The sequence below is a fragment of the Homo sapiens genome, chromosome 8 (genome assembly GCF_000001405.40).
Source record: "Homo sapiens chromosome 8, GRCh38.p14 Primary Assembly".
Lineage (NCBI taxonomy): Eukaryota > Metazoa > Chordata > Mammalia > Primates > Hominidae > Homo > Homo sapiens.
The window spans coordinates 144,183,212-144,207,563 of NC_000008.11; the positions used below are offsets into that span (position 1 = coordinate 144,183,212).

The following is a 24,352-nucleotide window of genomic DNA, read 5'->3' on the forward strand; positions in this document are numbered from 1 at the left end:
TAGAAAAAATATTTTTAAAAATTTGCCAGGTATGGTAGCACATGCCTGTATTCCAGCTCCTTGGAAGGCTGAGGCAGGAGGATTGCTTGACCCTGGGAAGTCGAGGCTGCAGTGAACCAAGATCAAGCTACTGAACTCCAGCCTGGGTGACAGAGCAAGACTCTGTCTCAAAAAAAAAAAAAAAAATCCTAATAACACAACAGGGGTGGGCTTCTGCTTGTGGCATTATGGTGGTCTGTTATTCTGAAAAAACTTCCCACTGCCGAATACCTGGAATGCTGATGAGTTGACCAGCATCCTTCTGATCAATCAGAAGGAGAAACCTAGGCCCACGGAGGTCAAGAGGGGAGGTGAGAGGTTAGAGCTCTCCAGTGGCCCCTGGGCACCTGCCTGCCTTGATTTCACATGGGAGACAAGGCCTTTCTTCTTCTTTTTTCTTTTTTCTTTTTTTTTGAGATGGAGTCTCGCTCTGTTGCCCAGGCTGGAGTGCAGTGGCGCGATCTCGGCTCACTGCAAGCTCTGCCTCCCAGGTTCACGCCATTCGCCTGCCTCAGCCTCTCCGAGTAGCTGGGACTACAGGCGCCCACCACCACGCCTGGCTAATTTTTTGTATTTTTAGTGGAGACGGGGTTTCACCATGTTAGCCAGGATGGTCTGGATCTCCTGACCTCGTGATCCGCCCGCCTCGGCCTCCCAAAGTGCTGGGATTACAGGCATGGACCACCGCGCCTGGCCAGACAAGGCCTTTCTTTGCACTGGGTCAGAGCCCACCTGTACCAGACCCTTCAAGGCCCCTCCTCAGCAAAAAGTGACTGATGAGGAACCTTCCACTGTGCACCCTGGGAGGTAGTCTGTTTTCTTTTAGAATTTCTTTTAAATCCTCTCTCCTGAGAATTTGTAACCATGGTCTGTCCTGATGTAGTTGTAGGGTTCAAAGTTGTTCTTTGTGTTGGACTGGGAAGCCCTTAAGCTGAGACGTTAGCCGTGTAAATGGGCCGGGCTGAAGTGTCCTGGGTGGGGTGACCAGTGTCCTACTGAATGTTTGCGTCCCAGTCAGGCTGCATGGCAGTGGCTCTGGCCGGGGGGTGTGGCCGTGGGAAGCAGCGCTTCCCTGGAGCGCAGGGTCTCGGCTCTGGTGTGGGGCCAGCAGCTCTCCACGGACCCAGGACCAGCAATATCAGTTACAGTCACAAAGCACACACGTCAGCACACAAAAAAAGGAGCATTAGAGCAGAAAGTCACATAATTTGGATTGATGAGATACAGGATAAAAATAGCAAGGTAAAGAGGCGAAAGGGAGAAAGGACAGGGTCCTACAAGGACAGAGCCAGTGTGAAAAGAGAACCAAATACAGTCTAGAAACAAAACTGTAACCATTTCCATTAAAGAGTAAGGAGGTGGGTGTGGCAGCCGGTTGCAGACACTGAAGAGAGTGCACCAGCTGGACAGGGGTCTGGGGACAACCCGGAGGGCAGCCCTGAGCTGGCAGAGAGAAGGGGGTGCGGGGCAGGCGTCAGGTGAGCTGGCCGAGCACCCCCAGCTACAGAGCACGAGTCCAGAAGAGGTGAGAAGAGGCCCAGGCTCACCGGCATCATCAAAGGGAGATGCTGTGGAGGGGCCGCCAGGAGCTGCTGACTTTCACAGCCAGTGCCAGACCTGTTCCCTGGAGCCCTGTCACCTCCACCCAGGGCAGAAGGACGCTATGGGGCTGGGGCAGAGCAGGAGTCCCCACCCCCTGCACTGGAGAGGGTGTGGAGGCCCTGGGTGCTGCTGGTGAGTGACAGGTGTGCAGGGGATCCCCGCGCCAGCAAGAAAGGAGCTGAGGAGGAGGGGGAGGCAGGCAGCCTCTTGCCCTTTTCTCTGTCGGGGAGGGAAGTGTCTTGTAGCTTTAGGGAAACCACTGCAGTGTTGCAGTCCCAGGATTTCTGTGCAGTGTGTCGCTCCTGCAGGCAGCCTGCCGGTTCCACTGGAATCCTCGTGCTGTGCCGCCTGACCCTCCCTGGCCTCTGTGGTTTCTGCAGGGTGGGAAGTGGGAGCTGAGCCCTCCCATCTCACTGTATGTGTCAGGCCGTTGCAAGTTTTGTCGTTACTGTGGTCTCACCTACCCAGACCTGAGCAAGGCAGAAAACACAGAAACTAATGCTTTAGAAAATAAGCAGTTGGCAAAACGTTATGTTTTATACCTAGTTCTTTGAAATAAGTGAATTAAATACTTAAGCTGCTGCCTCATCAAGAGAAAAGAGAGAAACAAGCCAAGTGGTAAACAGGAGGTGAATAGATGTGAGGACAGCGAGGGGTGGCGCGGGGACCGCGGGGAGATGTGAGGGGTGGCATGGGGACCGTGAGAGGGGCGGTGAGGGGCGGCGCAGGGGCCTTGAGGGGATGTGAGAGGCAGTGCGGGGACCGCGGGGGGCGGTGAGGGCCGGGGGGGGGGACGGTGAGGGGCGGCGCAGGGACCTCGAGGGGACGTGAGGGGCAGTGCGGGGACCGTGGGGGGAGGGGGAGGGGCGGCGGGGGGACGGTGAGGGGCGGCGCGGGGACCTCGAGGGGACGTGAGGGGCAGTGCGGGGACCGTGGGGGGAGGGGGAGGGGCGGCGCAGGGACCTCGAGGGGACGTGAGGGGCAGTGTGGGAACCACGGGGGGGCGGTGAGGGGCAGTGCAGGGACCGTGGGGGGATGGTGAGGGGTGGCGGGGGGGCGGCGAGGGGCGACGTGGGGACCACAAGGGACCAGCAAGGGCCGCCGAGGGGACCGCGTGCCCAGTGCAGCCACCTCTGAAAGCCCAGCAGCGAGTGCTCCAGGAGAGTGCCACTTCCCAGGCAGTGCTCCGTGGGCTCCGCAGTGGGCTCTCTCCCAGTCCTCAGGGCTGTGTCACCCCGGGGAAATGAAGCAAAAAGGACAGTTTCCAATTTTTTTTTTTTTTTTTGGAGACAGGGTCTCACTCTGTCACCCAGGCTGGAGTGCAGTGGTGTGATCTTGGCTCACTGCAACCTCTTGCCTCCCAGGCTGAAGTGATCCTCCCACCTCAGCTCCCAGAGTAGCTGCGACCAGAGGTGCCCGCCACCACACCCAGCTAATTTTTGTATTTTTAGTAGAGACGGGGTTTCCCCATGTTGGCCAGGCTGGTCTCGAACTCCTGACCTCAGGTGATCTGTCCACCTCGGCCTCCCAAAGTGCTGGGATTACAGGCATGAGCCACTGCGCCCGGCCCCAAATTATTTTTGTGACCTGAGCATCACCACAAAAGAGATCCAGGGACCAGCCTCACTCAGGGTCTGCCCTCCCCGTCCATGCCCCTGCTGCTGAACCCAAGTCAGAGATGGTTTCAGGTGCCTTTGCTGGGATACAGTGACCCTTGATATCCCAAAACTTGGAACGAAGCAGATTCCTATCACCTCACATACCCCGCTGTGATCGCTGACCCTAGGAACAAAATCCATATTGCCTGGCATAGGGGCTGGCTCTGTCCTGACGGGGGGGTCACCCCAGGAGTGAGAGGCCAGCTCCACATTGGGAGGGTGGGCCCTCACACTGATCGACATAAGAAGGGAAACCACATGGCCACTGCCCTTGTTTATTCTTATTAAAAACTCAGGCTAGGCCGGGCGCGGTGGCTCACGCCTATAATCCTAGCACTTTGGGAGGCTGAGGCAGGCGGATTGCCTGAGCTCAGGAGTTTGAGACCAGCCTGGGCAACACGGTGAAACCCCGTCTCAACTAAAATACAAAAAATTAAATTAGCCGGGTGTGGCAGTGTGTGCCTATAGTCCCAGCTACTCAGGAGGCTGAGGCAGGAGAATTGCTTGAACCTGGGAGTCAGAGGTTGCAGTGAGCCAAGATCACGCCACTGCATTCCAGCCTCAGTGACAGAGTGAGACTGTCTCCAAAAAAAAAAAAACAAAACAAAACAAAACTCAGGCCGGGCATGGTGGCCTACGCCTGTAATCCCAGCACTTTGGGAGGCCGAGGTGGTTGGATCGCTTGAACCCAGGAGTTTGACACCAATCTGGGCATCATAGTGAGACCTCTGTTTCTAAAAAAATATAAAATTAGCCAGGTACAGTGTCACGCACCTGTAGTCCTAGCTACTTGAGAGGCTGAGGTGGGAGGATCACTTGAGCCCAGGAGGTCGAGGCTGCAGTGAGCTAAGTTGGTGTCACTACACTCCAGCCTGAGTGACAGACCGAGACCCTGTCTTAAAAAAAAGAAAAAAAACCAAAATCCTACAATCACCCACACAGACAAAGAATGGAAGAAACCAAAGGTTTTTGGTCTTCACTTAATAAAATTGTTTATATAAAATCCCAACACATTCCCACAAATTATTAGAGGTGACAAGAATTTAGCAGGATGCTGTTGGAGGATCAGCAGCTGAAGCTTATCTGCATTCCTGTGTACTAGACTCAGAGGTGCCAGCTCCTCTGTGAATCGATCATCACAGATTCTGGTGAGCTTCTGATGAGAGTCCCGCAGGGCCTGAGTCAACCATTGGGTTTGCGCCTGGAGGTGCTGGTGACCCTGAAGGCAGTGCTAGAAGGTGGCCAGTGGCCCCATGAAGGGGACGAGGGGTACAGGTAGAGATTTTTTGTCTGGGTGGCGCTTCTCAGGGCCTTTGCTCTTGCAGGGTTGCTGCAGGGTCTGTGTCAGAGGGAGGCTTTATGGGGACCGATGGCTACACGGGAGCCAGGTGGGGGTGTAGGAAGCACAGAGCATAGGTGCGGGTTCCGGTGGTCTCAGGGTCCTCTTCCATGAGGTTGTCAGCCCATTGTGAGGAGGGGTTTGTGGCGAGAAAAGGGTGTGAAACAGTTGCCCAAGCATGGAAAGCCAGGGACCGGCGAGCCTCGCAGGACTGTCGGGAGCACCTGCACCCTTTGATTCTTACAGGCTGGGTTTAAAGTGATTTCTTAAGATACAAAAAAGTATAAATCACAAAGGAAAATATTAACAAGTTTGACATGACAAATTAAAGGAATTTGTTCATCAGAAGATCTGAAAAAATGTACAGAACTGCAGATGAACATCACCAAGAAAAAGAATTACCAAAGAAGATACTATAAATACTTTTCTCTACTTTATAAGAAGTGGAAAGGCTCACCCATGGCCCTGGGAGCAGCAGTGGATGGGGCCTAAGGCCAGTGGGAACTGGCACTCACACCCCAACCTGGCCCTCTGCACCACATGTGCTTCAGCCCAGGGGGGCCTCACAGCAGCCCTGGGTCAGGTGCTACCACTGCCCAATTTTTTTTTTTTTTTTTTTTTTTTTTTTTTTTTTTTTTGAGACAATCTCACACTGTCGCCCAGGCTGGAGTGCATGGCGTGATCTCAGCTCACTGCAACCTCTGCCTCCCGGATTCGAGTGATTCTCCTGCTTCAGCCTCCCAAGTAGCTGGGATTACAGGGGCGTGCCACCACACCCAGCTAATTTTTTGTATTTTTAGTACAGACGGGGTGTCAACATGTTGCCCAGGATGGTCTCGAACTCCTGACCTCATGATTCACCCGCCTCAGCCTCCCAAAGTTCTGGGATTACAGGCATGAGCCACTGCGTCCGGCCACTGCCTCATTTTATAAGTGAGGAAACTGAGGCACAAAGAGGCTGAATAACTCGTCCCAGGCCATACACCTGGGGAGTGGGAGAGCCAGGACTAGGCCAGCCTGCACCTCTGAGCTGCCTTTTAAAGCAGATGTGGGAAGAACTGCTAGGAAATCAGAAGGGGAGACTACAGCTCAGAAAAATGGGGCAAGAAAAGGCCAGAACCACACAGCCAGCCAACATACACACAGAAAGGTGATTAGCCCACTATCTGCAAAGCGGTGTTATCTCACATTAAGCAGTTTGGAGAAAATTAAAAGTAATTGTTTGAAAATACCAAGTTTAGATTGTGCTTTGGAGCAGGGCCTGTAGCAGCGAGCTATTGGGATTGGCACTTGGCAGCCACTCTGGAGAGAGTGGGCCCATCAGAAGAACTCAAGATTGGGGCAGCTGAGGTGGTCCCAGCAGCACCCCCTTGGTCTTGTGCCTTGTGCAGCCCCTCCCCGTGCGGTGGGTGCATCCTTTCAGGGCTCTGGACTTTGCCCTGAAGCTCATGGTCCCTTTGTGTTTCCTCCTCCAGTTTCTGCGTCTCCGCCTGGTCCTCAGCAGGGCTGTGTGAAAGGTGCTGGCCTCAGTTTATCTCCCTGTGCCCCCATGTTCCCCCTTCACCCGGGGCCCAGCCCCACTGACCACTTGCACATCACCTGAGTTCGGCCCATGTCCTGGGCTCCAGGCCCTACAGCCAGTGTTTTCTGACTCTCCACCCAGATGTCCATACCACTCGAAGCCTGGGTGGCCACCTGCCCAGCCTCTGCCCGCTCCCAGCTCTGCCCGCTCCCAGCTCTGCCCTCAGGGTCAGCCCAAGGCCACCGCTGAGTCACATCCACAGTCACTGGCACACTGTCAGGAGCCGCCCACCCGTGGGAGGGCCTCATGCTGACCCTGGCATCCTGGTGCCCCTCCGCCCTGCCATTGTTCTCCCTGTGGCTCTTCCCGCCCACACTGTGCCCAGCACGGCAGCCTTGGGCAGAATGTGTGGCACAAGTCTGTCTGTGAGGATGGGTGGGCGTGGCACTGCTCCTCTTGTCTCTGTGGCAGACTGGAGTGGGCAGGAACTTGTGGGCAGAGGGCATTTTGGGGAGGAGGTTGGTACTTGCACCAGTTTTCTTTGGTGACAAGCACCAAGTGCAAATTAGGTGGCTTCAAACAACAGAAATGTATTTTCTCACAGTTTTGGAGACTGGAAGTCCAAGCTCAAGATGTTGGCAGGATTGGTTCCTTCTTGGGAGCCCAGAGACAGAATTCATTTCAGGCTCCCCAGCTTCTGGTGGGGCCATGGATTCTGGGTGTCCTTGGCCTGAGGCTGCCTCGCCCCAGTCTGTGCCTCCATGTCACATGGCCATCTTCCTCCTGCCTCTGCATCTCTTCTTATAAGGATGTTGTCATGTTGGAGTTACAGCCCACCCTACTTTGCTATGACCCCATTTTAACAGTCACATCTGGCCAGGCGCGGTGGCTGATGCCTGTAATCTCAGCACTTTGGGAGGCCAAGGTGGGCAGATCACTTGAGGTCAGCAGTTTGAAACCAGCCTGGCCAACATGGTGAAACCCTGTCTCTTCTAAAAATTAGCCAAGTATGATGGTACACCCCTGTAGTTCCAGCTAGTCAGGAGGCTAAGGCAGGAGAATTGCTTGAACCTGGGAGGCAAAGGTTGTAATGAGCTGAGATCAAGCCACTGCATTCCAGCCTGGGTGACACAGCAAGACTGTGTCACAACACACCAGCCTGAGTGACAGACCGAGCAAGACTCTGTCTCAAAAAAAGTCACATCTGCAAAAACCCTATTTCCAATAAGGCCATGAATTTGGAGGGACACTTTTCATCCTGTGTAGTCCTGGAGTTGTGTGCTTGGCTGGTGTTCTAGGGAGGGCATCTTGCAGGCCGTGGGATTTCTGGAAGGGGCAGGAGGCAGACATAGGTGCTGAGGATCGTCACAAACCCATGGCCTGCAGCCACTTACCACTGGCCGGTTTTGTAGCTCTGCAGCGCTTCAGCGAGGGTGCCCTGGAGTACCTAGCCAACCTGGACCGAGCCCCAGACCCCACGGTCAGGAAGGACGCCTTTGCCACCGACATCTTCAGCGCCTACGATGTTCTCTTCCATCAGTGGCTGCAGAGTCGAGAAGCCAAGGTATGCCCCGTGGCTGCATCAGTCCACGCCTGATGCCAGGGCTCTCTCCTCCCCACATTCCCTGCCCGTGGCAAATTGATCAGAGGGTGGTGGTGTTGCATTGGCAAGCAGAGGTGCCCAATGGGAGGTGGCTCACCTTTATTTATTTTTTTGAGACAGAGTCTCACTCTGTCACCCAGGCTGGAGTGCAGTGGCATGACCTTGGCTCACTGCAGCCTCCGCCTCTCTGCTTCAAGCGATTCTCATGCCTCAGCCTCCTGAGTAGGTGGGATTACAGGCGCCTGCCACCACTCCCGGCTTATTTTTGTATTTTTAGTAGAGATGAGGTTTCGCCATGTTGGCCAGGCTGGTCTCGAACTCCTGACCTCAGGCGATCCACCCGCCTTGGCCTCCCAAAGCTCTGGGATTACAGGTGTGAGCCACCGTGCCTGGCCACCTTTAGGCTGCCACACCTGCACAGGGCCCCCTCTGCAGTCCCCATACTTGTGACTTCTGCCAGAGGGGCCTAGTCACTGTGGGTTTTTCCTTCTGCCCAGAGGCCCAGTGCTGCTGGCGGGGCACTGAGCATCTCCTACAAACCCCCTGGGCCTGGCCAGCATCTGGCTTGCTGTGGTCTCCCCACAGCTGACCTCTGGGTGCTAGGCTCACGTCCCAGCCCCCGTAGCACCCACTGGTAGCCCAGTGTTCGTTCACGTCCGTCACGGGTGCTTGCTGGACATGCTCTGAGCAGTCGGTGTTGACTGAGCAGCGTAAGCTTCCCGCCCACTGTCCCCTCTCAGCTCCGTCTTGCCGTGGTGGAGGCTCTGGGGCCTATGAGCCATCTGCTGCCCAGTGAGAGGCTGGAAGAGCAGCTGCCCAAGCTCCTCCCTGGGATTCTCGCCCTCTACAAGAAGCACGCAGAGACCTTCTACTTGTCCAAGGTATCTGCAGGCAGGGCAGGTCTACTGTCCCCGAGGACCCCTCCAATCAGACTCCCCGGGGGTGGCCGTGAGTCCTCGGCTAGGGCTCAGTGGTGGGTGGGGGTGGCCCTGAGTTCTCTGCTAAGGCTCAGTGGTGGGCTGTGAAGGACAGGGCCCTCGTGGGGACCAGCTTAGTTTTCCCATCGCTCTGCCCTGGACGGTGCCAGGAACCTGGGCCTCTTGGTCCATGGCACCTGTGGCTTAGGGAGCCCCCTTCCTGGGCCCTCCCCACCCTCCTCCCTGGCTCTGAGTTCTAGAGGTAGACGAAAGGCCTCCTCATTTGAGCCCCAAGGTGGGGCCCATGTCCTCCTGGCCCATGTCTTCCTGTGGCCCAACTGGGAGGCTCTGATTGACCTTAGTCAGTTCGGGCGGCTGGAGGTAGGACTGACGGCCTCTTCTCCCTACCCGGAGCAGAGCCTGGGCCAGATCCTCGAGGCAGCTGTGAGTGTGGGCAGCCGCACACTGGAGACCCAGCTGGATGCCCTCTTGGCTGCACTGCACTCCCAGGTAGGAGGCGGGCGTCAGGGGGCGGGTCCAGGTTCTGCACACCCTTCCGTGGGAAGTTGCTGGACAAGGGGTGCAGAAAGCAAGTTGGGGTGGATGGCTCAGCCACGTGGGGCTGAGGACTGGGCATTCCCTGAAGGTCACTCGGGTGACTTCTTAGCGATGTGGCGATGCTCTTGCCCTGCCCAGTAGTGGCACATGCAGGTGACATAGCAGCCCCCAGGATGGAGGTGGCAGGAGTGGGTGCCCAGGCCCAGTGCAGGCCCAGTACAGGTGGTCCCAGAGAAAGGTCAGCGCAGCTGAAGTGCCAGCTGGGGGAGACTGCCCTGAGTTTCTGGGGACTGAGCTCAGAGGAGCAGAGGAGAGGCCCTGGGCTGCAGGACGGGGGTCTTGAAGGCCCTGCTGGAGAGGAAGTGATGTGGGGAGGAGGCTGAGCAGCTGGGGCAGCTGGGACCCCTCCCCAGGTCGGGTGAATGAGGCTGAGAACGACTGAGGGATGCAGGTGCCGGGTCACCCGTGACCTTGGCACTGGGGGTCATCTGTCCATGGGACTTTCTGGATGAGAGAGGAGAGGGGCAGGGAGCTAGAGAGGGTGGTGTGGTGAAGTCTGCAAGGAAACTTTCTGAAAAGAAGTGTGGAGGTGGGTTTACTGCTTGGCTCTGCCCCTCACCTGGCCCACTCCAGCTGGGCCCCACTCTCCACCGCCTGGATGGTCCTGGCTGCATCCCAGAAACAAAGGGGAAGAGGGGACGGCAGCCACAGAGCTAGTAAACATAATGTAAGTGCTGTGAACAGTTACATGGTAACAAACTGTTAAAACTGTATGAAATGGTTAGGTTCCTAGAAAGATTAAAATGTCAACATTGGTACGAAAAGCAACAGAGAATTGAATAAGCCAATAAAGCAACGGAAATAATATTCTAAGACCTTTCTTCCTTAAAACAAGCCTGGGACCCAAATGGTTTCACGACTGAGTTCTTCCAAACTTTTGAGGAACAATTAATTCCTGTCCAGTACAAGTACATTTGGAAATAGGAAAAGATCCAGAGCTACCTCTTTCATTCTGTGAGGCCTTGGTCAAATCCCAGTCAGAGCCGTATAAGGAAATGCAGATGTGTAACGATGAGCATAGACGTGAGGTTTTGCATAAAGTAGCAGGTTACTGAACCCAAGACCATACTTTTATTTATTATTTATTCATTTATTTATTTATTATTTATTTATTTTGAGATGGAGTTTCGCTCTTGATGCCCTGGCTGGAGTGCTGTGGCATGATCTCGGCTCACTGCAACCTCTGCCTCTCGGGTACAAGCGATCTCCTGCCTCAGCCTCCTGAGTAGCTGGGATTACAGGTGCCCACCGCCACACCTGGCTAGTTTTTTGTATTTTTAGTAGAGATGGGGTTTCACCATGTTGGCCAGGCTGATCTCGAACTCCTGACCTCAAGTGATCCACCTGCCTCGGCCTCCCAAAGTGTTGGGATTACAGGCATGAGCCACGGAGCCCAGCCAAGACCGTGCTTTTCAAAACACCTTATGCGGGAGGGCTTAGCTCACATCGCAAGGCCTATCCAGCATGCAGGAGCTGTCAGTGCACTTCATCACAGTAATAGACTAAAGAAAAATAGTGTCTGAGTTCAATCAATGCAGAAAAAACTTTTGATGATTTTTTCTTTTCCCCTGAGATGGAGTTTCGCTCTTGTTGCCCAGGCTGGAGTGCAATGGTGCGATCTTGGCTCACTGCAACCTCCGCCTCCTGGGTTTAAGCAATTCTCTTGCCTCAGCCTCCCAAGTAGCTGTGGTTACAGGCACGCACCACCACGCCTGGCTAATTTTTGTATTTTTAATAGAGATGGGGTTTCACCATGTTGGCCAGGCTGGTCACGAACTCCTGACCTCAAGTGATCCCCCTGCTTCAGCCTCCCAAAGTATTGGGATTACAGGCGTGAGCCACTGTGCCTGGCCTAAAATTCTTAACAACTAAGATTGGAAAGGAACTTCCCTAAGTTAACAAAGTATGGATACCCGAACCCTCAGTCTGCATCATAACTGATGGGAAGTGTTAGGCAATTCCCTGTAAGGTCAATAACAGGAAGGACCTGCCTCTCAATGCGGATCGGGTCCTCTGCTGGTTCTATAGGGAAACAAAAGAACCAGGAGGGAAGGGAAGATGGTCATTATTCATCACCTGTCCACCTTTCTGGCCAAGCTATTAGGACTAATCAGAAGTTCCTGCAAGGCGTGGTGGCTCACATCTGTAATCCCAGCACTTTGGGAGGCTGAGGAGGAAGAACTGCTTGAGCCCAGGAATTCGAGACCAACCTGGGCAACATAGGGAGACCCCATCTCTACAGAAAAAATGTAGCTGAGTACAGTGGCACAGATCTGTAATCCCAGCTATTCAGGAGGCTGAGGTTGGAGGATCACTGGAGCCCAGGAAGTTGAGGCTGCAGTGAGCCATGATCATGCCACTGTACTCCAGCCTGGGTGACAGAGCAAGACCTTGTCTCGAAAAAGAAAAAAAAAGTTCTGCAAATTTGCCAGTTACAAGACCAACCTACAAAAGCCAAGAACATTTTTCTACACCAGCACTGACCAGCTAGAAAGTATATGAAAACACTATCTACAATAGCAACAGAAACTTATTAACAGCCAGGTGTCATGGCGCATGCCTGTGGTTCCAGCTACTTGAGAGGCTGAGGTGGGAGGATCGCTTGAGCCCAGGAGGTTGAGGCTGCAGTGAGCTGTGATCACGCCAGTGCATTCCAGCCTGGGTGACAGTGCGAGACTGTGTCTTTAAAAAAAAAAAAAAAAAAAAAAAAGGCCGAGTGCCATGGCTCATGCCTGTAATCCCAGCACTTTGGGAGGCCAAGGCAGGCAGATCACGAGGTCAGGAGATCGAGACCATCCTCGATAACACGGTGAAACCCTGTCTTTACTAAAAATGCAAAAAAATTAGCTGGGCATGATAGTGGGTGCCTGTAGTCCCAGCTACTCGGGAGGCTGAGGCAGGAGAATGGCATGAACCCTGGAGGGAGAGCTTGCAGTGAGCTGAGATCACGCCACTGCACTCCAGCCTGGGCAACAGAGTGAGACTCTGTCTCAAAAAAAAAAAAAAAAAAAAAAAAGAAACAGAGTCTCACTCTGTTGCCCAGGCTGGTCTCCAACTCCTGGCTTCAGGTGATCCTCTTGTCTCAGCCTCCCAAAGTATTGAGATTACAGATGTGAGCCACTGCACCTGGCCTATAGCAGTTATTTATAACCTTGTATTATATATGTAAAAATATTTGTTCCTACTTTGTCATTGAGTCATTAATTCATTCTTGAGACAGGGTCTCGCTTTGTCACACAGGCTGGAGTGCAGTGGCAGTAACAGCTCACTGCAGCCTCGGCCTCCCAGGCTCAAGCGATCCTCCTGCCTCATCCCCTCCCCAAACCCCAGTAGCTGGGACCACAAATCATGCTACTTTGTCCTTTATCTTTTAACTCTGTTTATGATATTTTTTGGCCATACAAAGTTGTTTAATTTTTACATTATCATTTATCCATCTTTTATGTTATAGTTCAGGTTTTGTTATGCATAGAAAACCCTTTCAAATTCAGTGATTAGTGGCCGGGCACAGTGGCTCACGCCTGTAATCCCAGCACTTTGGGAGGCCGAGGCGGGCAAATCACGAGGTCAGGAGTTTGAGACCAGCCTGGCCAACATAGTGAAACCCTGTCTCTACTGAAAATACAAAAAATTAGCTGGGCGTGGTGGCGGGTGCCTGTAATCCCAACTACTCGGGAGGCTGAGGCAGGAGAATTGCTTGAACCCGGGAGGCGGAGGTTGCATTGAGCCGAGATTGCGCCACCTCATTCCAGCCCGGGTGACAGAGTGAGATTCCGTCTCCAAAAAAAAAAAAAAAATTCAGTAATTTTTGTTTTCTCAGTTCTCCCAATTTCCCCTACGCTTTTGTTATTATTATTATTATTGAGACAGAGTCTTTCACTCTGTTGCCCAGGCTGGAGTGCAGTGGTGCGATCTTGACTCACTGCAACCTCTGCCTCCCAGGTTCAAGTCATTCTCCTGCCTCAGCCTCCCGAGTAGCTGGGATTACAGGCGCATGCTATGATGCCCAGCTAATTTTTGTATTTTTAATAGAGACAGGGTTTCACTATTTTGGCCAGGCTGGTCTTGAACTCCTGACCTCAAGTGATCTACCCACCTTGGCCTCCCAAAGTGCTGGGATTACAGGCATGAGCCTCTGTGCCCAGCCCCCTATGCTTTTATTATTTAATCTGTCTGGGATTTATTTTAGGGAAGGAATGAGAATCCAACTGTATCTTTTTTCCAGATGAATACTCATTTGCATTAGTTATATATTGCTGTGTAACCAATTACCACAAAACTTACCACCTTAAAACAACAACATCTAGGCCGGTGCGGTGGCTCATGCCTGTAATCCCAGCACTTTGGGAGACCGAGGCGGTGGACCACGAGGTCAGGAGTTCAAGACCAGCCTGACCAACATGGTGAAACCCTGTCTCTACCAAAAATACAAATATTAGCCAGGCGTGGTGGCACACACTTGTAATCCCAGCTTACTCAGGAGGCTGAGGCAGGAGAATCACTTGAACCCAGGAGGCGGAGGTTGCAGTGAGCCGAGATCGCGCCATTGCACTCCAGCCTGGGAAACAGAGCAAGACTCTGTCTCAAAAAACAACAACAACAACAACAACATCTGTTATCTCACAGTGGGTCCAGAAGGTGAGAGCAGCTCAGGGGGTCGCTCCAACTCAGGGTCCCTTGTTAGTTTACACCCATTCATGCGGTCTGCCTGGGCCGTGCCATCTGAAGGCTCTACTGGGGTTGGAGGATCTGCTTCCAAGGCTGTTCATTCATGTGGCTGTTGGCTGGAGGCCCCAGTTCCTCACCACATTGATCTCTCCATAAGGCCGCTTGAGTGTCCCCACAACATGGTGGCTAGCTTCCTGCAGGGTGAGTGATCTGAAAGAGTGGGCAGGAAGCTGCAGCATCTTTTTTTTTTTTTTTTTTTTTTTTTTTTTTTTTTTTGAGACGGAATCTTGCTCTGTCACCCAGGCTGGAGTGCAGTGGCGCGATCTTGGCTCACTGCAAGCTCTGCCTCCCCGGTTCACGCCATTCTCCTGCCTCAGCCTCCCGAGTAGCTGGGACTACAGGCGCCTGCAACCACGCCTGGCTAATTTTTTGTATTTTTACTAGAGATGGGGTTTCACCGTGTTAGCCAGGACGGTCTCCATCTCTTGACCTTGGGATCCGCCCACCTCGGCCTCCCAAAGTGCTGGGATTACAGGCGTGAGCCACTGCACCCAGCCAACTGCAGCATCTTTTATGATCATATTTGGTCTTTACAGTAGAAATAACAAGGAGCACACCGGGGGCGGTGACTCACGCCTGTAATCCCAGCACTTTGGGAGGCCGAGGCGGGCGGATCACCTGAGGTCAGGAGTTAGAGACCATCCAGACCAACATGGAGAAACCCTGTCTCTATTAAAAATACAAAAATTAGCCAGGTGTGGTGGCACACACCTGAGGCTGAGAATTGCTTGAACCCGGGAGGCGGAGGTTGCAGTGAGCCAAGGTCACGCCATTGCACTCCAGCCTGGGCAACAAGAGCAAAACTGTTTCAAAAAAAAAAAAAAAAAGAAAGAAAAATAAATAACAAGGAGCTACCTGGGAACGTAGAGCCGAGCCCTGGGGCCAGCTCCTCCACCTCGCAGTGATTTCTGACAGTTCTCTAGGAACCCAGGTTGGGGTGTGGCCCTGTGGGCCTGGGGCCTTTGCTGTGGTTACCTCTTCTGGCTCATAAGAGGGCTCTGCTGAAGAATTGCTTTGGAGCTCTTTGTGCAGAGAGACCCTGTCAGTGCCCTTTGCTGTGACACCTGCGAGTGGGGACCTAGGATGTCACACCTGAATTAGTGGGGGTGTGCTTCTGTATCACCCACTAAGGTACCATGGAGCCCAGAGATGCATCTGCCAGCATCCTTAGTTTTTTATTGTTGTTTGTTCATTTGTTTGAGACAGGGTCTTGCTCTGTACTCAGGCTGGAGTGCGGTGGCACCATTACAGCTCACTGTAGCCTCAACCTCCCGGGCTCAGGCAGTCCTCTCACTTCAGCCTCCTGAGTAGCTGGGACCACAGGCATGCACCACCATGCCCAGCCAACAGCCTTAGTTTTTGCTTTTTACCAATAAGACTTTTTTTTTCCTTATAACTTTGAACAAGTGGACTCCAGAAGTTTTGGGTTCCAGTACTTTATGTGTCCTAGAGATTCATGCTTTCCAGCCTGGGTCCTGGGCCTCATGCCTGGGGCATGGGAGACTCTCCTCTTTAGTCAAGAAATATTTCTTGGGAATCTCTTTTCCTGCTGCTGGTAGGAGAGGTGGAAGGTGGCAGGAGCAGGATGTGTCCCTGGAGACTTGACAGTAGCTGTGTGTCTGCCTGTTGCTGCCTGTCTCCCTCCTCTCCCCCACCGTAAGGAGATGGGGCTGGTCCCTGGAGGGCCTCTGATTACAGGGGATGAGACTGTCCTGCATCCAGGGCTTGGGTGAGAAAGAGCCTGGAGCGCCCGCTGCATGCTGTAGGCATGGGGTGGAAACCCAGAGCCTTCTGCCCAGCTGCCCAGGCCCAGAATTGTCAGAGGGCGGGAATCCTTCCTTCTGGCCTCTCTGGTCTATAACCTCGGCCCCGTTCCTGGAGCAGATCTGTGTGCCTGTGGAGTCCTCAAGCCCCCTGGTGATGAGTAACCAGAAGGAGGTGCTGCGCTGCTTCACTGTGCTGGGTGAGTGGTGGGCCCAGCTTTGCCCATGGGCATCTGTGGACACTCACAGGGTCACTGCCTGCTGTATGTGGAGGATGGTGGTGGCTGGGGTACTGGTCGGGGATGAGGAGGCCCCTGTTTCCACCTCTCCTGGGCCTACCTGTGGCTCCAGAGGCCTCTGAACCAGGGCCTGGGCAGTGGCTGCAGCCTGGAACGTTGTTCACCTCCGAGGAGCGTGCTGCTGACCTGCCCAAATCCTTGGGGGCCTCCACTCACCGTCCAGTCTGCACATTCCCTACCTGCCCCCCGCCTACCTGTTTCTCCACACCCAATCTCTGGCTCCATGGCCTGCTCTCTGCTCCCCCAGGGGGCCTGTGGCTGCTAGCCCTGGTCACCTGCCAGCCTCCCATGACCCACCTGGAGGTGCCATGCATCCTGTCACCACCCCCACTGGATGCTGTCCCTATGCCCTGCACAGGCCCTCATAGCCATCCTGGAGGGGCAGCAGATGGTGTGAGGAGGGGTCCTGCTTGCACTTGGGGCTGTCACCCTGCTGGGGCCACAGCATCAACATCTCCCTGGAGCTGGTCAGGCAGGCGGGGCCTCAGGCCCCCCACCTACATGAGCATCTACCCTTACACAAGATCCGCAGGAGGGGTGTGGGGAGACTGACTGCAGCCAGGCTGGGGGCAGGGTTGTGGTGGGCAGATGGATCACAGGTCTGATACCCAGGCAGAGCAGGCCTCCAGAGCCCACCTGGAATGGGGATGGCTCTGGTCCGTGAAGTACTGGTAAGGGAACTGCTGCAGTCGTTGCCAGAGGGCTCCTGGAGCTTGGGCTGCATTAGCCCTGCTTGGGCTGGGGGTCTGTGTGCTTGACAGCTCGAGTCCCCTTGAGCCTTAGACTGGCCTAGAGCCAAGAGAGTCAAGAGGGGCTACTGATGGCCCTCTTGTGGGCCCCCTTGTGAGCTGGAGATGCTGAAACAAGCACCGGTGTGCTGGGTTGGCCAAGATCTAAGTCCCGGCATGCTCGGGTGGTGCTGGCGCCGTGGGATAAGGGCTACATGTGCTCCAACCCTGCCTTAGACAGGGGCATCGGAGCCAGGCCCAGCGATTAGGTGACCCCAGCTTCTCACCTTCACACAGCAACTCTCCTCTGGCTCCTCCCCTGTGCTGGAGAGTAGGTGGACGCTGTGTATAGGGATGAACAAGATGACATGGAGCCTAATCTGTACCCGTTGCCCTGTAGCCTGCAGCTCGCCTGACCGCCTACTGGCCTTCCTGCTGCCCAGGCTGGACACCAGCAATGAGAGGACCCGCGTGGGCACCCTGCAGGTGGTCAGACATGTCATCAACTCAGCTGGTGAGTGCCTCCATGCTAGCCTGGCCGCCACCCCTGGCCATGTCCAGGATGGAGCAGGTCCTGGCAGATTGTGTCCCTCTAAGTGAAAGCACCATCCTGCTTTGAATTCTCTAGAAAGATTTCCCTACTTACTATTTTGCAAAATTCTAAACTTTTTGAAAAGTTGCAAGGGTGGTACCTTTCTACCCTTCGCCATATGATGGTGGCTCACACTTGCTTTGACAGCTGGCTGCAGACACCATGCGTGGCCACACTCCCCAGGTGACCATGCCTCTGAGGGTTCCCAGAGCCTAAGACAGCCATCCCTGAGCCCACTGCTCTAGCTCATTCTGGGATCTATTCAAAGACACACTTTGGTTTAGTTTGGTTGTCTCTTAGACTTGTTTGCCCAAGAGGAGCCTTTTTACTCTTTTTAAGAGATGAGGAGACCAATTGTTTCGTAGAATGTCCCTCAATTTACATATGTGTGACGGTTTCTTCGCAATTAGACTAAAAAAATTCACGTTTCCTTGTTTTAAGGCTAATTTTTTTTTTTTTTAGTGGTCTTGCTCTGTCGCCAGGCTGGAGTGCAGTGGCGCAATCTCGGCTCCCTGCAACCTCCACCTCCCGGGTTCACACCATTCTCCAGCCTCAGCCTCCCGAGTAGCTGGAACTACAGGGGCGCGCCACCAGGCCCAGCTAACTTTTGTATTTTTTTTTAGTAGAGACAGGGTTTCACCATGTCGGCCAGGATGGTCTCAATCTCCTGACCTCCTGATCCACCCACCTCGGCCTTCCAAAGTGCTGGGATTACAGGCGTGAGCCACCGCACCCATCCTTAAGGCTAATTGAAGTGATTAGTGATAAGCCTGAAAACATACCATTTTTCACAAGTGAGCTTGTGGTTTCCAGCGTGGCTCTTCCGCAGGTCAGTGCACAGTGGCCATGGCCCACCGGCCCTGCAGCCTGCCCATGCTCATCCTATGAGCTAGGGAGGTTGTTACATCTTTAATGGGTTATAAAAGCAAACAAAGGGACCACATGTGACCCACAAAGCCTAAAATATTTTCTGTCTGCCCTTTCAGAAGCGGCGCACTGCCCCCTGTACTGAGGTTCACTACCAGTCAGCTGCTGGGTTGCAAAGAGCAGCCACCCAGAGAGTCACATAGAGTTCTGGGACATATAGAAGCAGCGTGACAAAGCAGCAGGGCCGGCCGGGCAGTGGCTCACGCCTGTAATCCCAGCACTTTGGGAGGCCATGGCGGGCAGATCACTTGAAGTCAGGAGTTCAAGACCAGGCTGGCCAACATGGTGAAACCCCGTCTCTACTAAAAATATATATTAAAAAAAATTAGCCTGGCGTGGTGGCGGGCGCCTGTAATCCAAGCTACTTGGGAGGCTGAGGCAGAATTGCTTAAACTCAGAAGGCTGAGGTTGCAGTGAGCTGAGATGGCTAAACCGCACTCAAGCCTGGACAACAGAGTGAGACTCCGTCTCCAAAAAAAAAAAAAAAAAGAGAAAGCAGCAGGGCCAAGGGAGGACGGGGCAGACGGGGCCACAGTGCGAAAGTCACCAGGTTAAGAGTCAGGTGTAGGCACCTCAGGACACCTTCAGCGGCCCTTGCCCCAGCAGAAGCAGCCTGAAGTCCTGCTGCTTTGGGCGTGCCCAGATTTCAGAGCCCAGGGTGGTGCTGTGGTGGGCTGTCTGGAGGCTGGCGGGGGGAGAGCCTGCTGTCTGTGGAGGGGCGGGGAGGGGAGAGCCCGCTCTCTGTGGAGGGGTTGGGAAGGCAGCGACCCGCTCTGTGTGGAGGGGCAGGGAGGGAAGTGTCCCCTCTGTGGAGGGGAAAGGAGGGAAGCGCAGGCTCTCTGTGGAGGGGAAAGGAAGGGAGCACCAGCTCTGTGTGGAGGGGTTGGGAGGGAAGCGCCCCCTCTGTGGAGGGGAAGAGAGGGAAGCGCAGGCTCTCTGTGGAGAGGAAGGGAAGGGAGAACGGGCTCTCTGTGGAGGGGTTGGGAGGGCAGCGCCCCGCTCTGTATGGAGGGGCAGGGAGGGAAGCGCCCCCTCTGTGGGGGGGAAAGGAGGGAAGCGCAGGCTCTCTGTGGAGGGGTGGGGAGGGGAGCGCAGGCTCTCTGTGGAGAGGCGGGGAGGGGGAGCACCCGCTCTCTGTGGAGGGGTTGGGAGGGGAGCGTCCTTTCTGTGGAGGAGCCTGGAGAGGAGCGCCCGCCATCTGCGGAGGGGTTGGGAGAGGAGCACCCGCTGTCTGTGGAGGGGCTGGGAGGGAAGCGCAGGCTCTCTGTGGAGGGGCGGGGGGGGGCACCCGCTCTCTGTGGAGGGGCGGGGGGGGGAGCGCCCAATGTCTGTGGAGGGGCAGGGAAGGAAGCGCGGGCTCTCTGTGGAGGGGCTGGGAGAGGAGCGCCCGCTCTCTGTAGAGGGGCGGGGAGGGGAGCGCCCGCTGTCTGTGGAGGGGCGGGGGGGGGGAGCGCCCGCTGTCTGTGGAGGGGCGGGGGGGGGAGCGCCCGCTGTCTGTGGAGGGGCGGGGGGGGGAGCGCCCGCTGTCTGTGGAGGGGGGGCGGGGGGGGGGAGCGCCCGCTGTCTGTGGAGGGGCGGGGGAGGGGAGCGCCCGCTGTCTGTGGAGGGGCGGGGGGGGGGGAGCGCCCGCTGTCTGTGGAGGGGCGGGGGGGGGAGCGCCCGCTGTCTGTGGAGGGGCGGGGGGGGGAGCGCCCGCTGTCTGTGGAGGGGCGGGGGGGGGGAGCGCCCGCTGTCTGTGGAGGGGCTGGGAAGGAAGCGCGGGCTCTCTGTGGAGGGGCTGGGAGGGGAGCGCCGGCTCTCTGTGGAGGGGCGGGGAGGGGAGCGCTCGCTCTGTGTGGAGTACTCTGTAGAGGGTCCTGGAGAGGAGCGTCAGCTCTCTGTGGAGGGGTTGGGAGGGGAGCGCCCCCTCTGGAGGGGAAGGGAGGGAAGCGCAGGCTATCTGTTGAGGGGTTGGGAGGGGAGTGCCTGCTCTCTGTGGAGTGGCCCGGAGAGGAGCGCCCGCTCTCTGGAGGGGAAGAGAGAGAAGCGCAGGCTCTCTGTGGAGGGCCTGAGAGGAGAGCGCCTGCAGCTTCCACACAGAGGGGCTGCTCTGGTCAGTGGTCCTTGGGGAAGGGAGCCTCAGAGGCATGGGGCGTGTGGCAGCCCCACAGAAAGTAAAGCATCTGCGTCAGCAGCATGCACTCAGCCTCTGGTGGTAGAAGTAACCCTTGAGGCAGGTGCTCTTCTCCCCATTTACCTGATGAGGTTGGCATCTGAAGTGGAATTCTTAGTGCCCATGCTCTTGTTAGAGATGGGTTTTTCCATTCAGAAGTTCAACATTTCATGGGATTAACCATGCTCAACTTCCCTTTGTTAATTCATCAATCACATTTATGCTTTTCAGCGTTCACTTTGTTTTCCCCATATTTCATTTTCCTTGAAGTTCTTTCTCTGTGCATTTACGTATGTACAAATGCATGTACGCAAGGAAATATTTTAACCAAATGACATACTTCAAAACATGCTTTTTTCACTTGCTAGTATATCTTAGAGAACTTTTAACATCAGCACATATACATCTGTGTCATTTTTTGTTTTGTTTTGAGACAGGGTCTCGTTCTTTCACCCAGGTTGGAATGCAGTGGTGCAGTCATAGCTTACTGTAGCCTTGAGCTCCTGTGCTCAAGCAATTCTCCCACCTCAGCCTCCCAAGCAGCTGGGACTGCGGGTGTGCACCACCACACTCTGCCAGTTTTTTTGTATTTTTGTAGAAATGGGGTCTACTTATGTTGCCCAGGCTGGTCTCAAACTCCTGGGTTCAAGTGATCCTCTTTCCTTGGCCTCCCAAAGTGCTGGGATTACAGAAGTGAGATGGGCATCTATGCCGTCTATGTCATTTTTAATTGTTTTTATTTGAAGTATAATACACATACAGAAAAATGTACACGTTAACTGTTCAGCTTCATGAATAATCACACAGTAAGCCTATGTATTTATTCACCAACCAGGTGAAGAAATGGGACATTGACAACACCCAGGGGTGGCACTCTCAAGTCCCTCAGAAGGGGTGACTTCTAACAATAGAAGATAGTGTTGCTGTTTCAGGATGTTGTACAAAGAGAATTGTATGGTGTAAATAATTTTGTATCTGGCTTCTTTTCCTCAGTATTCTCTTGGTGAAATTTATACATATAGTACAGCTTATTTATTTTCACTCCCGTGAAGGATTCCAGTGAATTATCTACTACAGTGATTCATTTTGCCTGTGATGGGTAAATGGCTATATCCAGTATTTAACTGTTAATGCATAAGCCACTATTAACATTTGTCCTTTACACAGTTAGTGTTTACCTAGATGTAGAATTTTGGGTTATAAAGTATGTATGTGTTCAAGTTGCATAGATAAACCCTTCTGTTTTTCCAAAGTAGCTGTTTATACCCCAATTTATACCCCACACCTTATGTCTCACAAGTGGCTTATGAGCATTATTGCTTCATGTCCTCACCAACATTGGTTGGTCTTTAATTTTAGCCATTTTTGTGGGTATGTTATGAGGTCCTGCTTTGTTGCCCAGGCTGGTCTCCAACTCCTGGGCTCAAGCAATCCTCCCACCTTGGCCTCCCAAAGTACTGGGATTACAGGCGTGAGCCATTGCACCCAGCCAGAAGTCATCAAGTTTTCAATGAAAATATTGGAACATGATTGCAAGTTGAGGCCGTGGTTGGTCCCTGCATGTCATTCTTTCAGTCCATGGTCCAGAGAGCTGTTTCTTGTGTTAGACACCAGGCCATCTCAGTTTAAGTGGCTGGGTATAAAAGTCTGAGGTATCTTAATATGTTGCTTTCTTGTCTTCTAGAATCTGTTACTGCTATTGATAACTCATTGATGACTATCTGATTTGACTGGGATTTTCCTTATATATGATTTGGTCTTTTCTGCCTAGATGCCCAAAGGATTTTTATATATATATAAATCCTTTGCATATATATAGACACACACACACACACACACGCATGCATGCCAGGATTACAGGCTGTTTTATATCTTAAAACCGGAAATTTTACTGTGTCTCAGTGTTGGCTATTCTGAGTTGATTTCCCCCCCAGGTCCATAGAGTGCGCATTCAGCATTTGCGTCAATTCTGTTTTATCTCAAGAGACCTTGTTTTTCAGTCATAGCATTTCAGTACCCCATGACTTCGGAAGCCTTCTCTGGGATTCCCTGTTACATGTGTGTTGTGTCATTGTTGCCTATCTTAGATACTTTTATAAATCAAATTTTTGAAAGGCTTTTGGCCTCCAGTCATATTTTCTTCCAGAATTTTATTTTCTAAAATTGAACATAATCTTCAATAGAAATGCAGTAAAATGCATAAATCTTAACTGTATACTTGGTGACATTTTACACATTGTTCACCCATATGACTACCACTCAAATCAAAATGTGGAACATTTTTCTAAAACCCAAAAAGTTTTGCTTGTATTTATTTTCAGCTAACACCTACACCTACTGTTAAGAAGTGACCTCTTTTATGAGGTCACAGCGCAGGCTTGTGCTCTGTCGCCCAGGCTGGAGTGCGGTGGCACGATCACAGCTCACTGCAGCCTTGACCTCACGGGTTCAAGGGATCTTCCTGCCTCGGCCTCCTGAGTGGCTGGGACTGCAGGAGTGTACCCGGCCCACCGTTATGACTTCTGTCACCATAATTAATTCTGCCTGCTGTTGAGTTCCATGTAGATGGGCTAGTTGTAGGAGGACCCTTCGTGAGCGTAGGCATTCACTGAGCACGGTGCTGCTGTCAGTGCACTCTTCTTTACTGCTAAGTTGTATTCTGTTACATTTTCTGAATTTAAAAGTTATTTGTTTTCCTGTTAACAGACACTTGGGTTGTTCATGTTCTTTTTTTTTTTTTTGAGACATAGTTTCGCTCTTGTTGCCCAGGCTGGAAGGTAGTGGCACGATCTCGGCTCACTGCAACCTCCACCTCCCGGGTTCAAGCGATTCTCCTGCCTCAGCTTCCTGAGTAGCTGGGATTACAGGCGAACACCACCACACCCGGCTAATTTTTGTATTTTTAATAGAGATGGGGTTTCGCCATGTTGGCCAGGCTGGTCTCGAACTCCTGGACCTCAGGTGATCCACCCGCCTCGGTCTCCCAAAGTGCTGGGATTATAGGCATGAGCCACCGTGCCTGGCCTTTTTTCTCATTTTAAATTGTCCTCTTTGCCAGACACGGTGGCTCACGCCTGTAATCCCAGAACTTTGCGAGGCCGAGGCAGGTGGATCACCTGAGGTCAGGAGTTTGAGACTAGCCTGGCCAACATGGTGAAACCCTCTCTCTACTAAAAATACAAAAAAATGCCAGGTGTGGTGGCACACGCCTGTAGTTCCAGCTACTCTGGAGGCTGAGGCAGGAGAATTGCTTGAACCCGGGCGGCAGAGGTTGCAGTGAGCCAAGATTGCATCACTGCGCTCCAGCCTGGGCGACAGAGCGAGATTCTGTCTCAATTAAAAGAGAGAGAAAAGAAATTTAAAAAAAAAAATGGAAGTTCCCTGGTGAGTAAATTGATGAAGCACCTTTTCATATGCTTATTGACCTTCAGATATATTTGCGTATATATGTTGAAGTTCCTTTTCAAGTCTTTTTTTTGGGGGGTGGGGGGCCAGTTGTTGTTTTTTTGAGATGGAGTCGTGCTCTGTCACCAAGCCGGAGTGCAGTGGTGCGATCTTGGCTCACTGCAACCTCCGCCTCCTGGGTTCAAGCAATTCTCCTGCCTCAGCCTCCCAAGTAGCTAGGACTACAGGCGCTCACCACCATGCCCAGCTAATTTTTGTATTTTTAGTAGAGACAGGGTTTCACCATGTTGGCCAGGATGGTCTTGATCTTCTGACCTCGTGATCTACCCACCTTGGCCTCCCAAAGTGCTGGGATTTACAGGCGTGAGCCACCACGCCCGACCCCTGTTCAGGTCTTTTGCCCATTTTGATTGATTTATAGAGAGAGGGTCTCACTACGTTACCCAGGCTAGAGTGCAGT

The 24,352-nt window shown here is 53.4% G+C and overlaps 1 protein-coding gene across 44 annotated transcripts in view, besides 2 other annotated features; it reads left to right on the forward strand.

The window, feature by feature from the left end:
- The window catches only part of MROH1 (maestro heat like repeat family member 1), a 113,911-nt gene that overhangs the window by 35,196 nt on the left and 54,363 nt on the right, over positions 1-24,352 (forward strand). For all 44 annotated transcript variants that reach the window (XM_047422170.1, NM_032450.3, XM_047422189.1 and 41 more), the window contains 5 exons: positions 7,573-7,724; positions 8,504-8,644; positions 9,098-9,190; positions 15,911-15,989; positions 17,217-17,330. In XM_047422170.1, coding sequence (XP_047278126.1) covers positions 7,573-7,724; positions 8,504-8,644; positions 9,098-9,190; positions 15,911-15,989; positions 17,217-17,330 — 579 coding nt within the window. The remainder of the gene's footprint in view (positions 1-7,572; positions 7,725-8,503; positions 8,645-9,097; positions 9,191-15,910; positions 15,990-17,216; positions 17,331-24,352) is intronic.
- Positions 1,179-1,722: an enhancer, noted in NCBI's record as "H3K4me1 hESC enhancer chr8:145239293-145239836 (GRCh37/hg19 assembly coordinates)". NCBI's record gives its function as "activates a minimal SCP1, AML or CMV promoter by ChIP-STARR-seq in naive H9 embryonic stem cells {active_cell/tissue: H9 hESC(naive)}" and the evidence as "EXISTENCE:reporter gene assay evidence [ECO:0000049][PMID:30033119]".
- Positions 2,068-2,117: a silencer, noted in NCBI's record as "silent region_19665". NCBI's record gives its function as "represses an Ori minimal core promoter by ATAC-STARR-seq in GM12878 lymphoblastoid cells {active_cell/tissue: GM12878}" and the evidence as "EXISTENCE:reporter gene assay evidence [ECO:0000049][PMID:35858748]".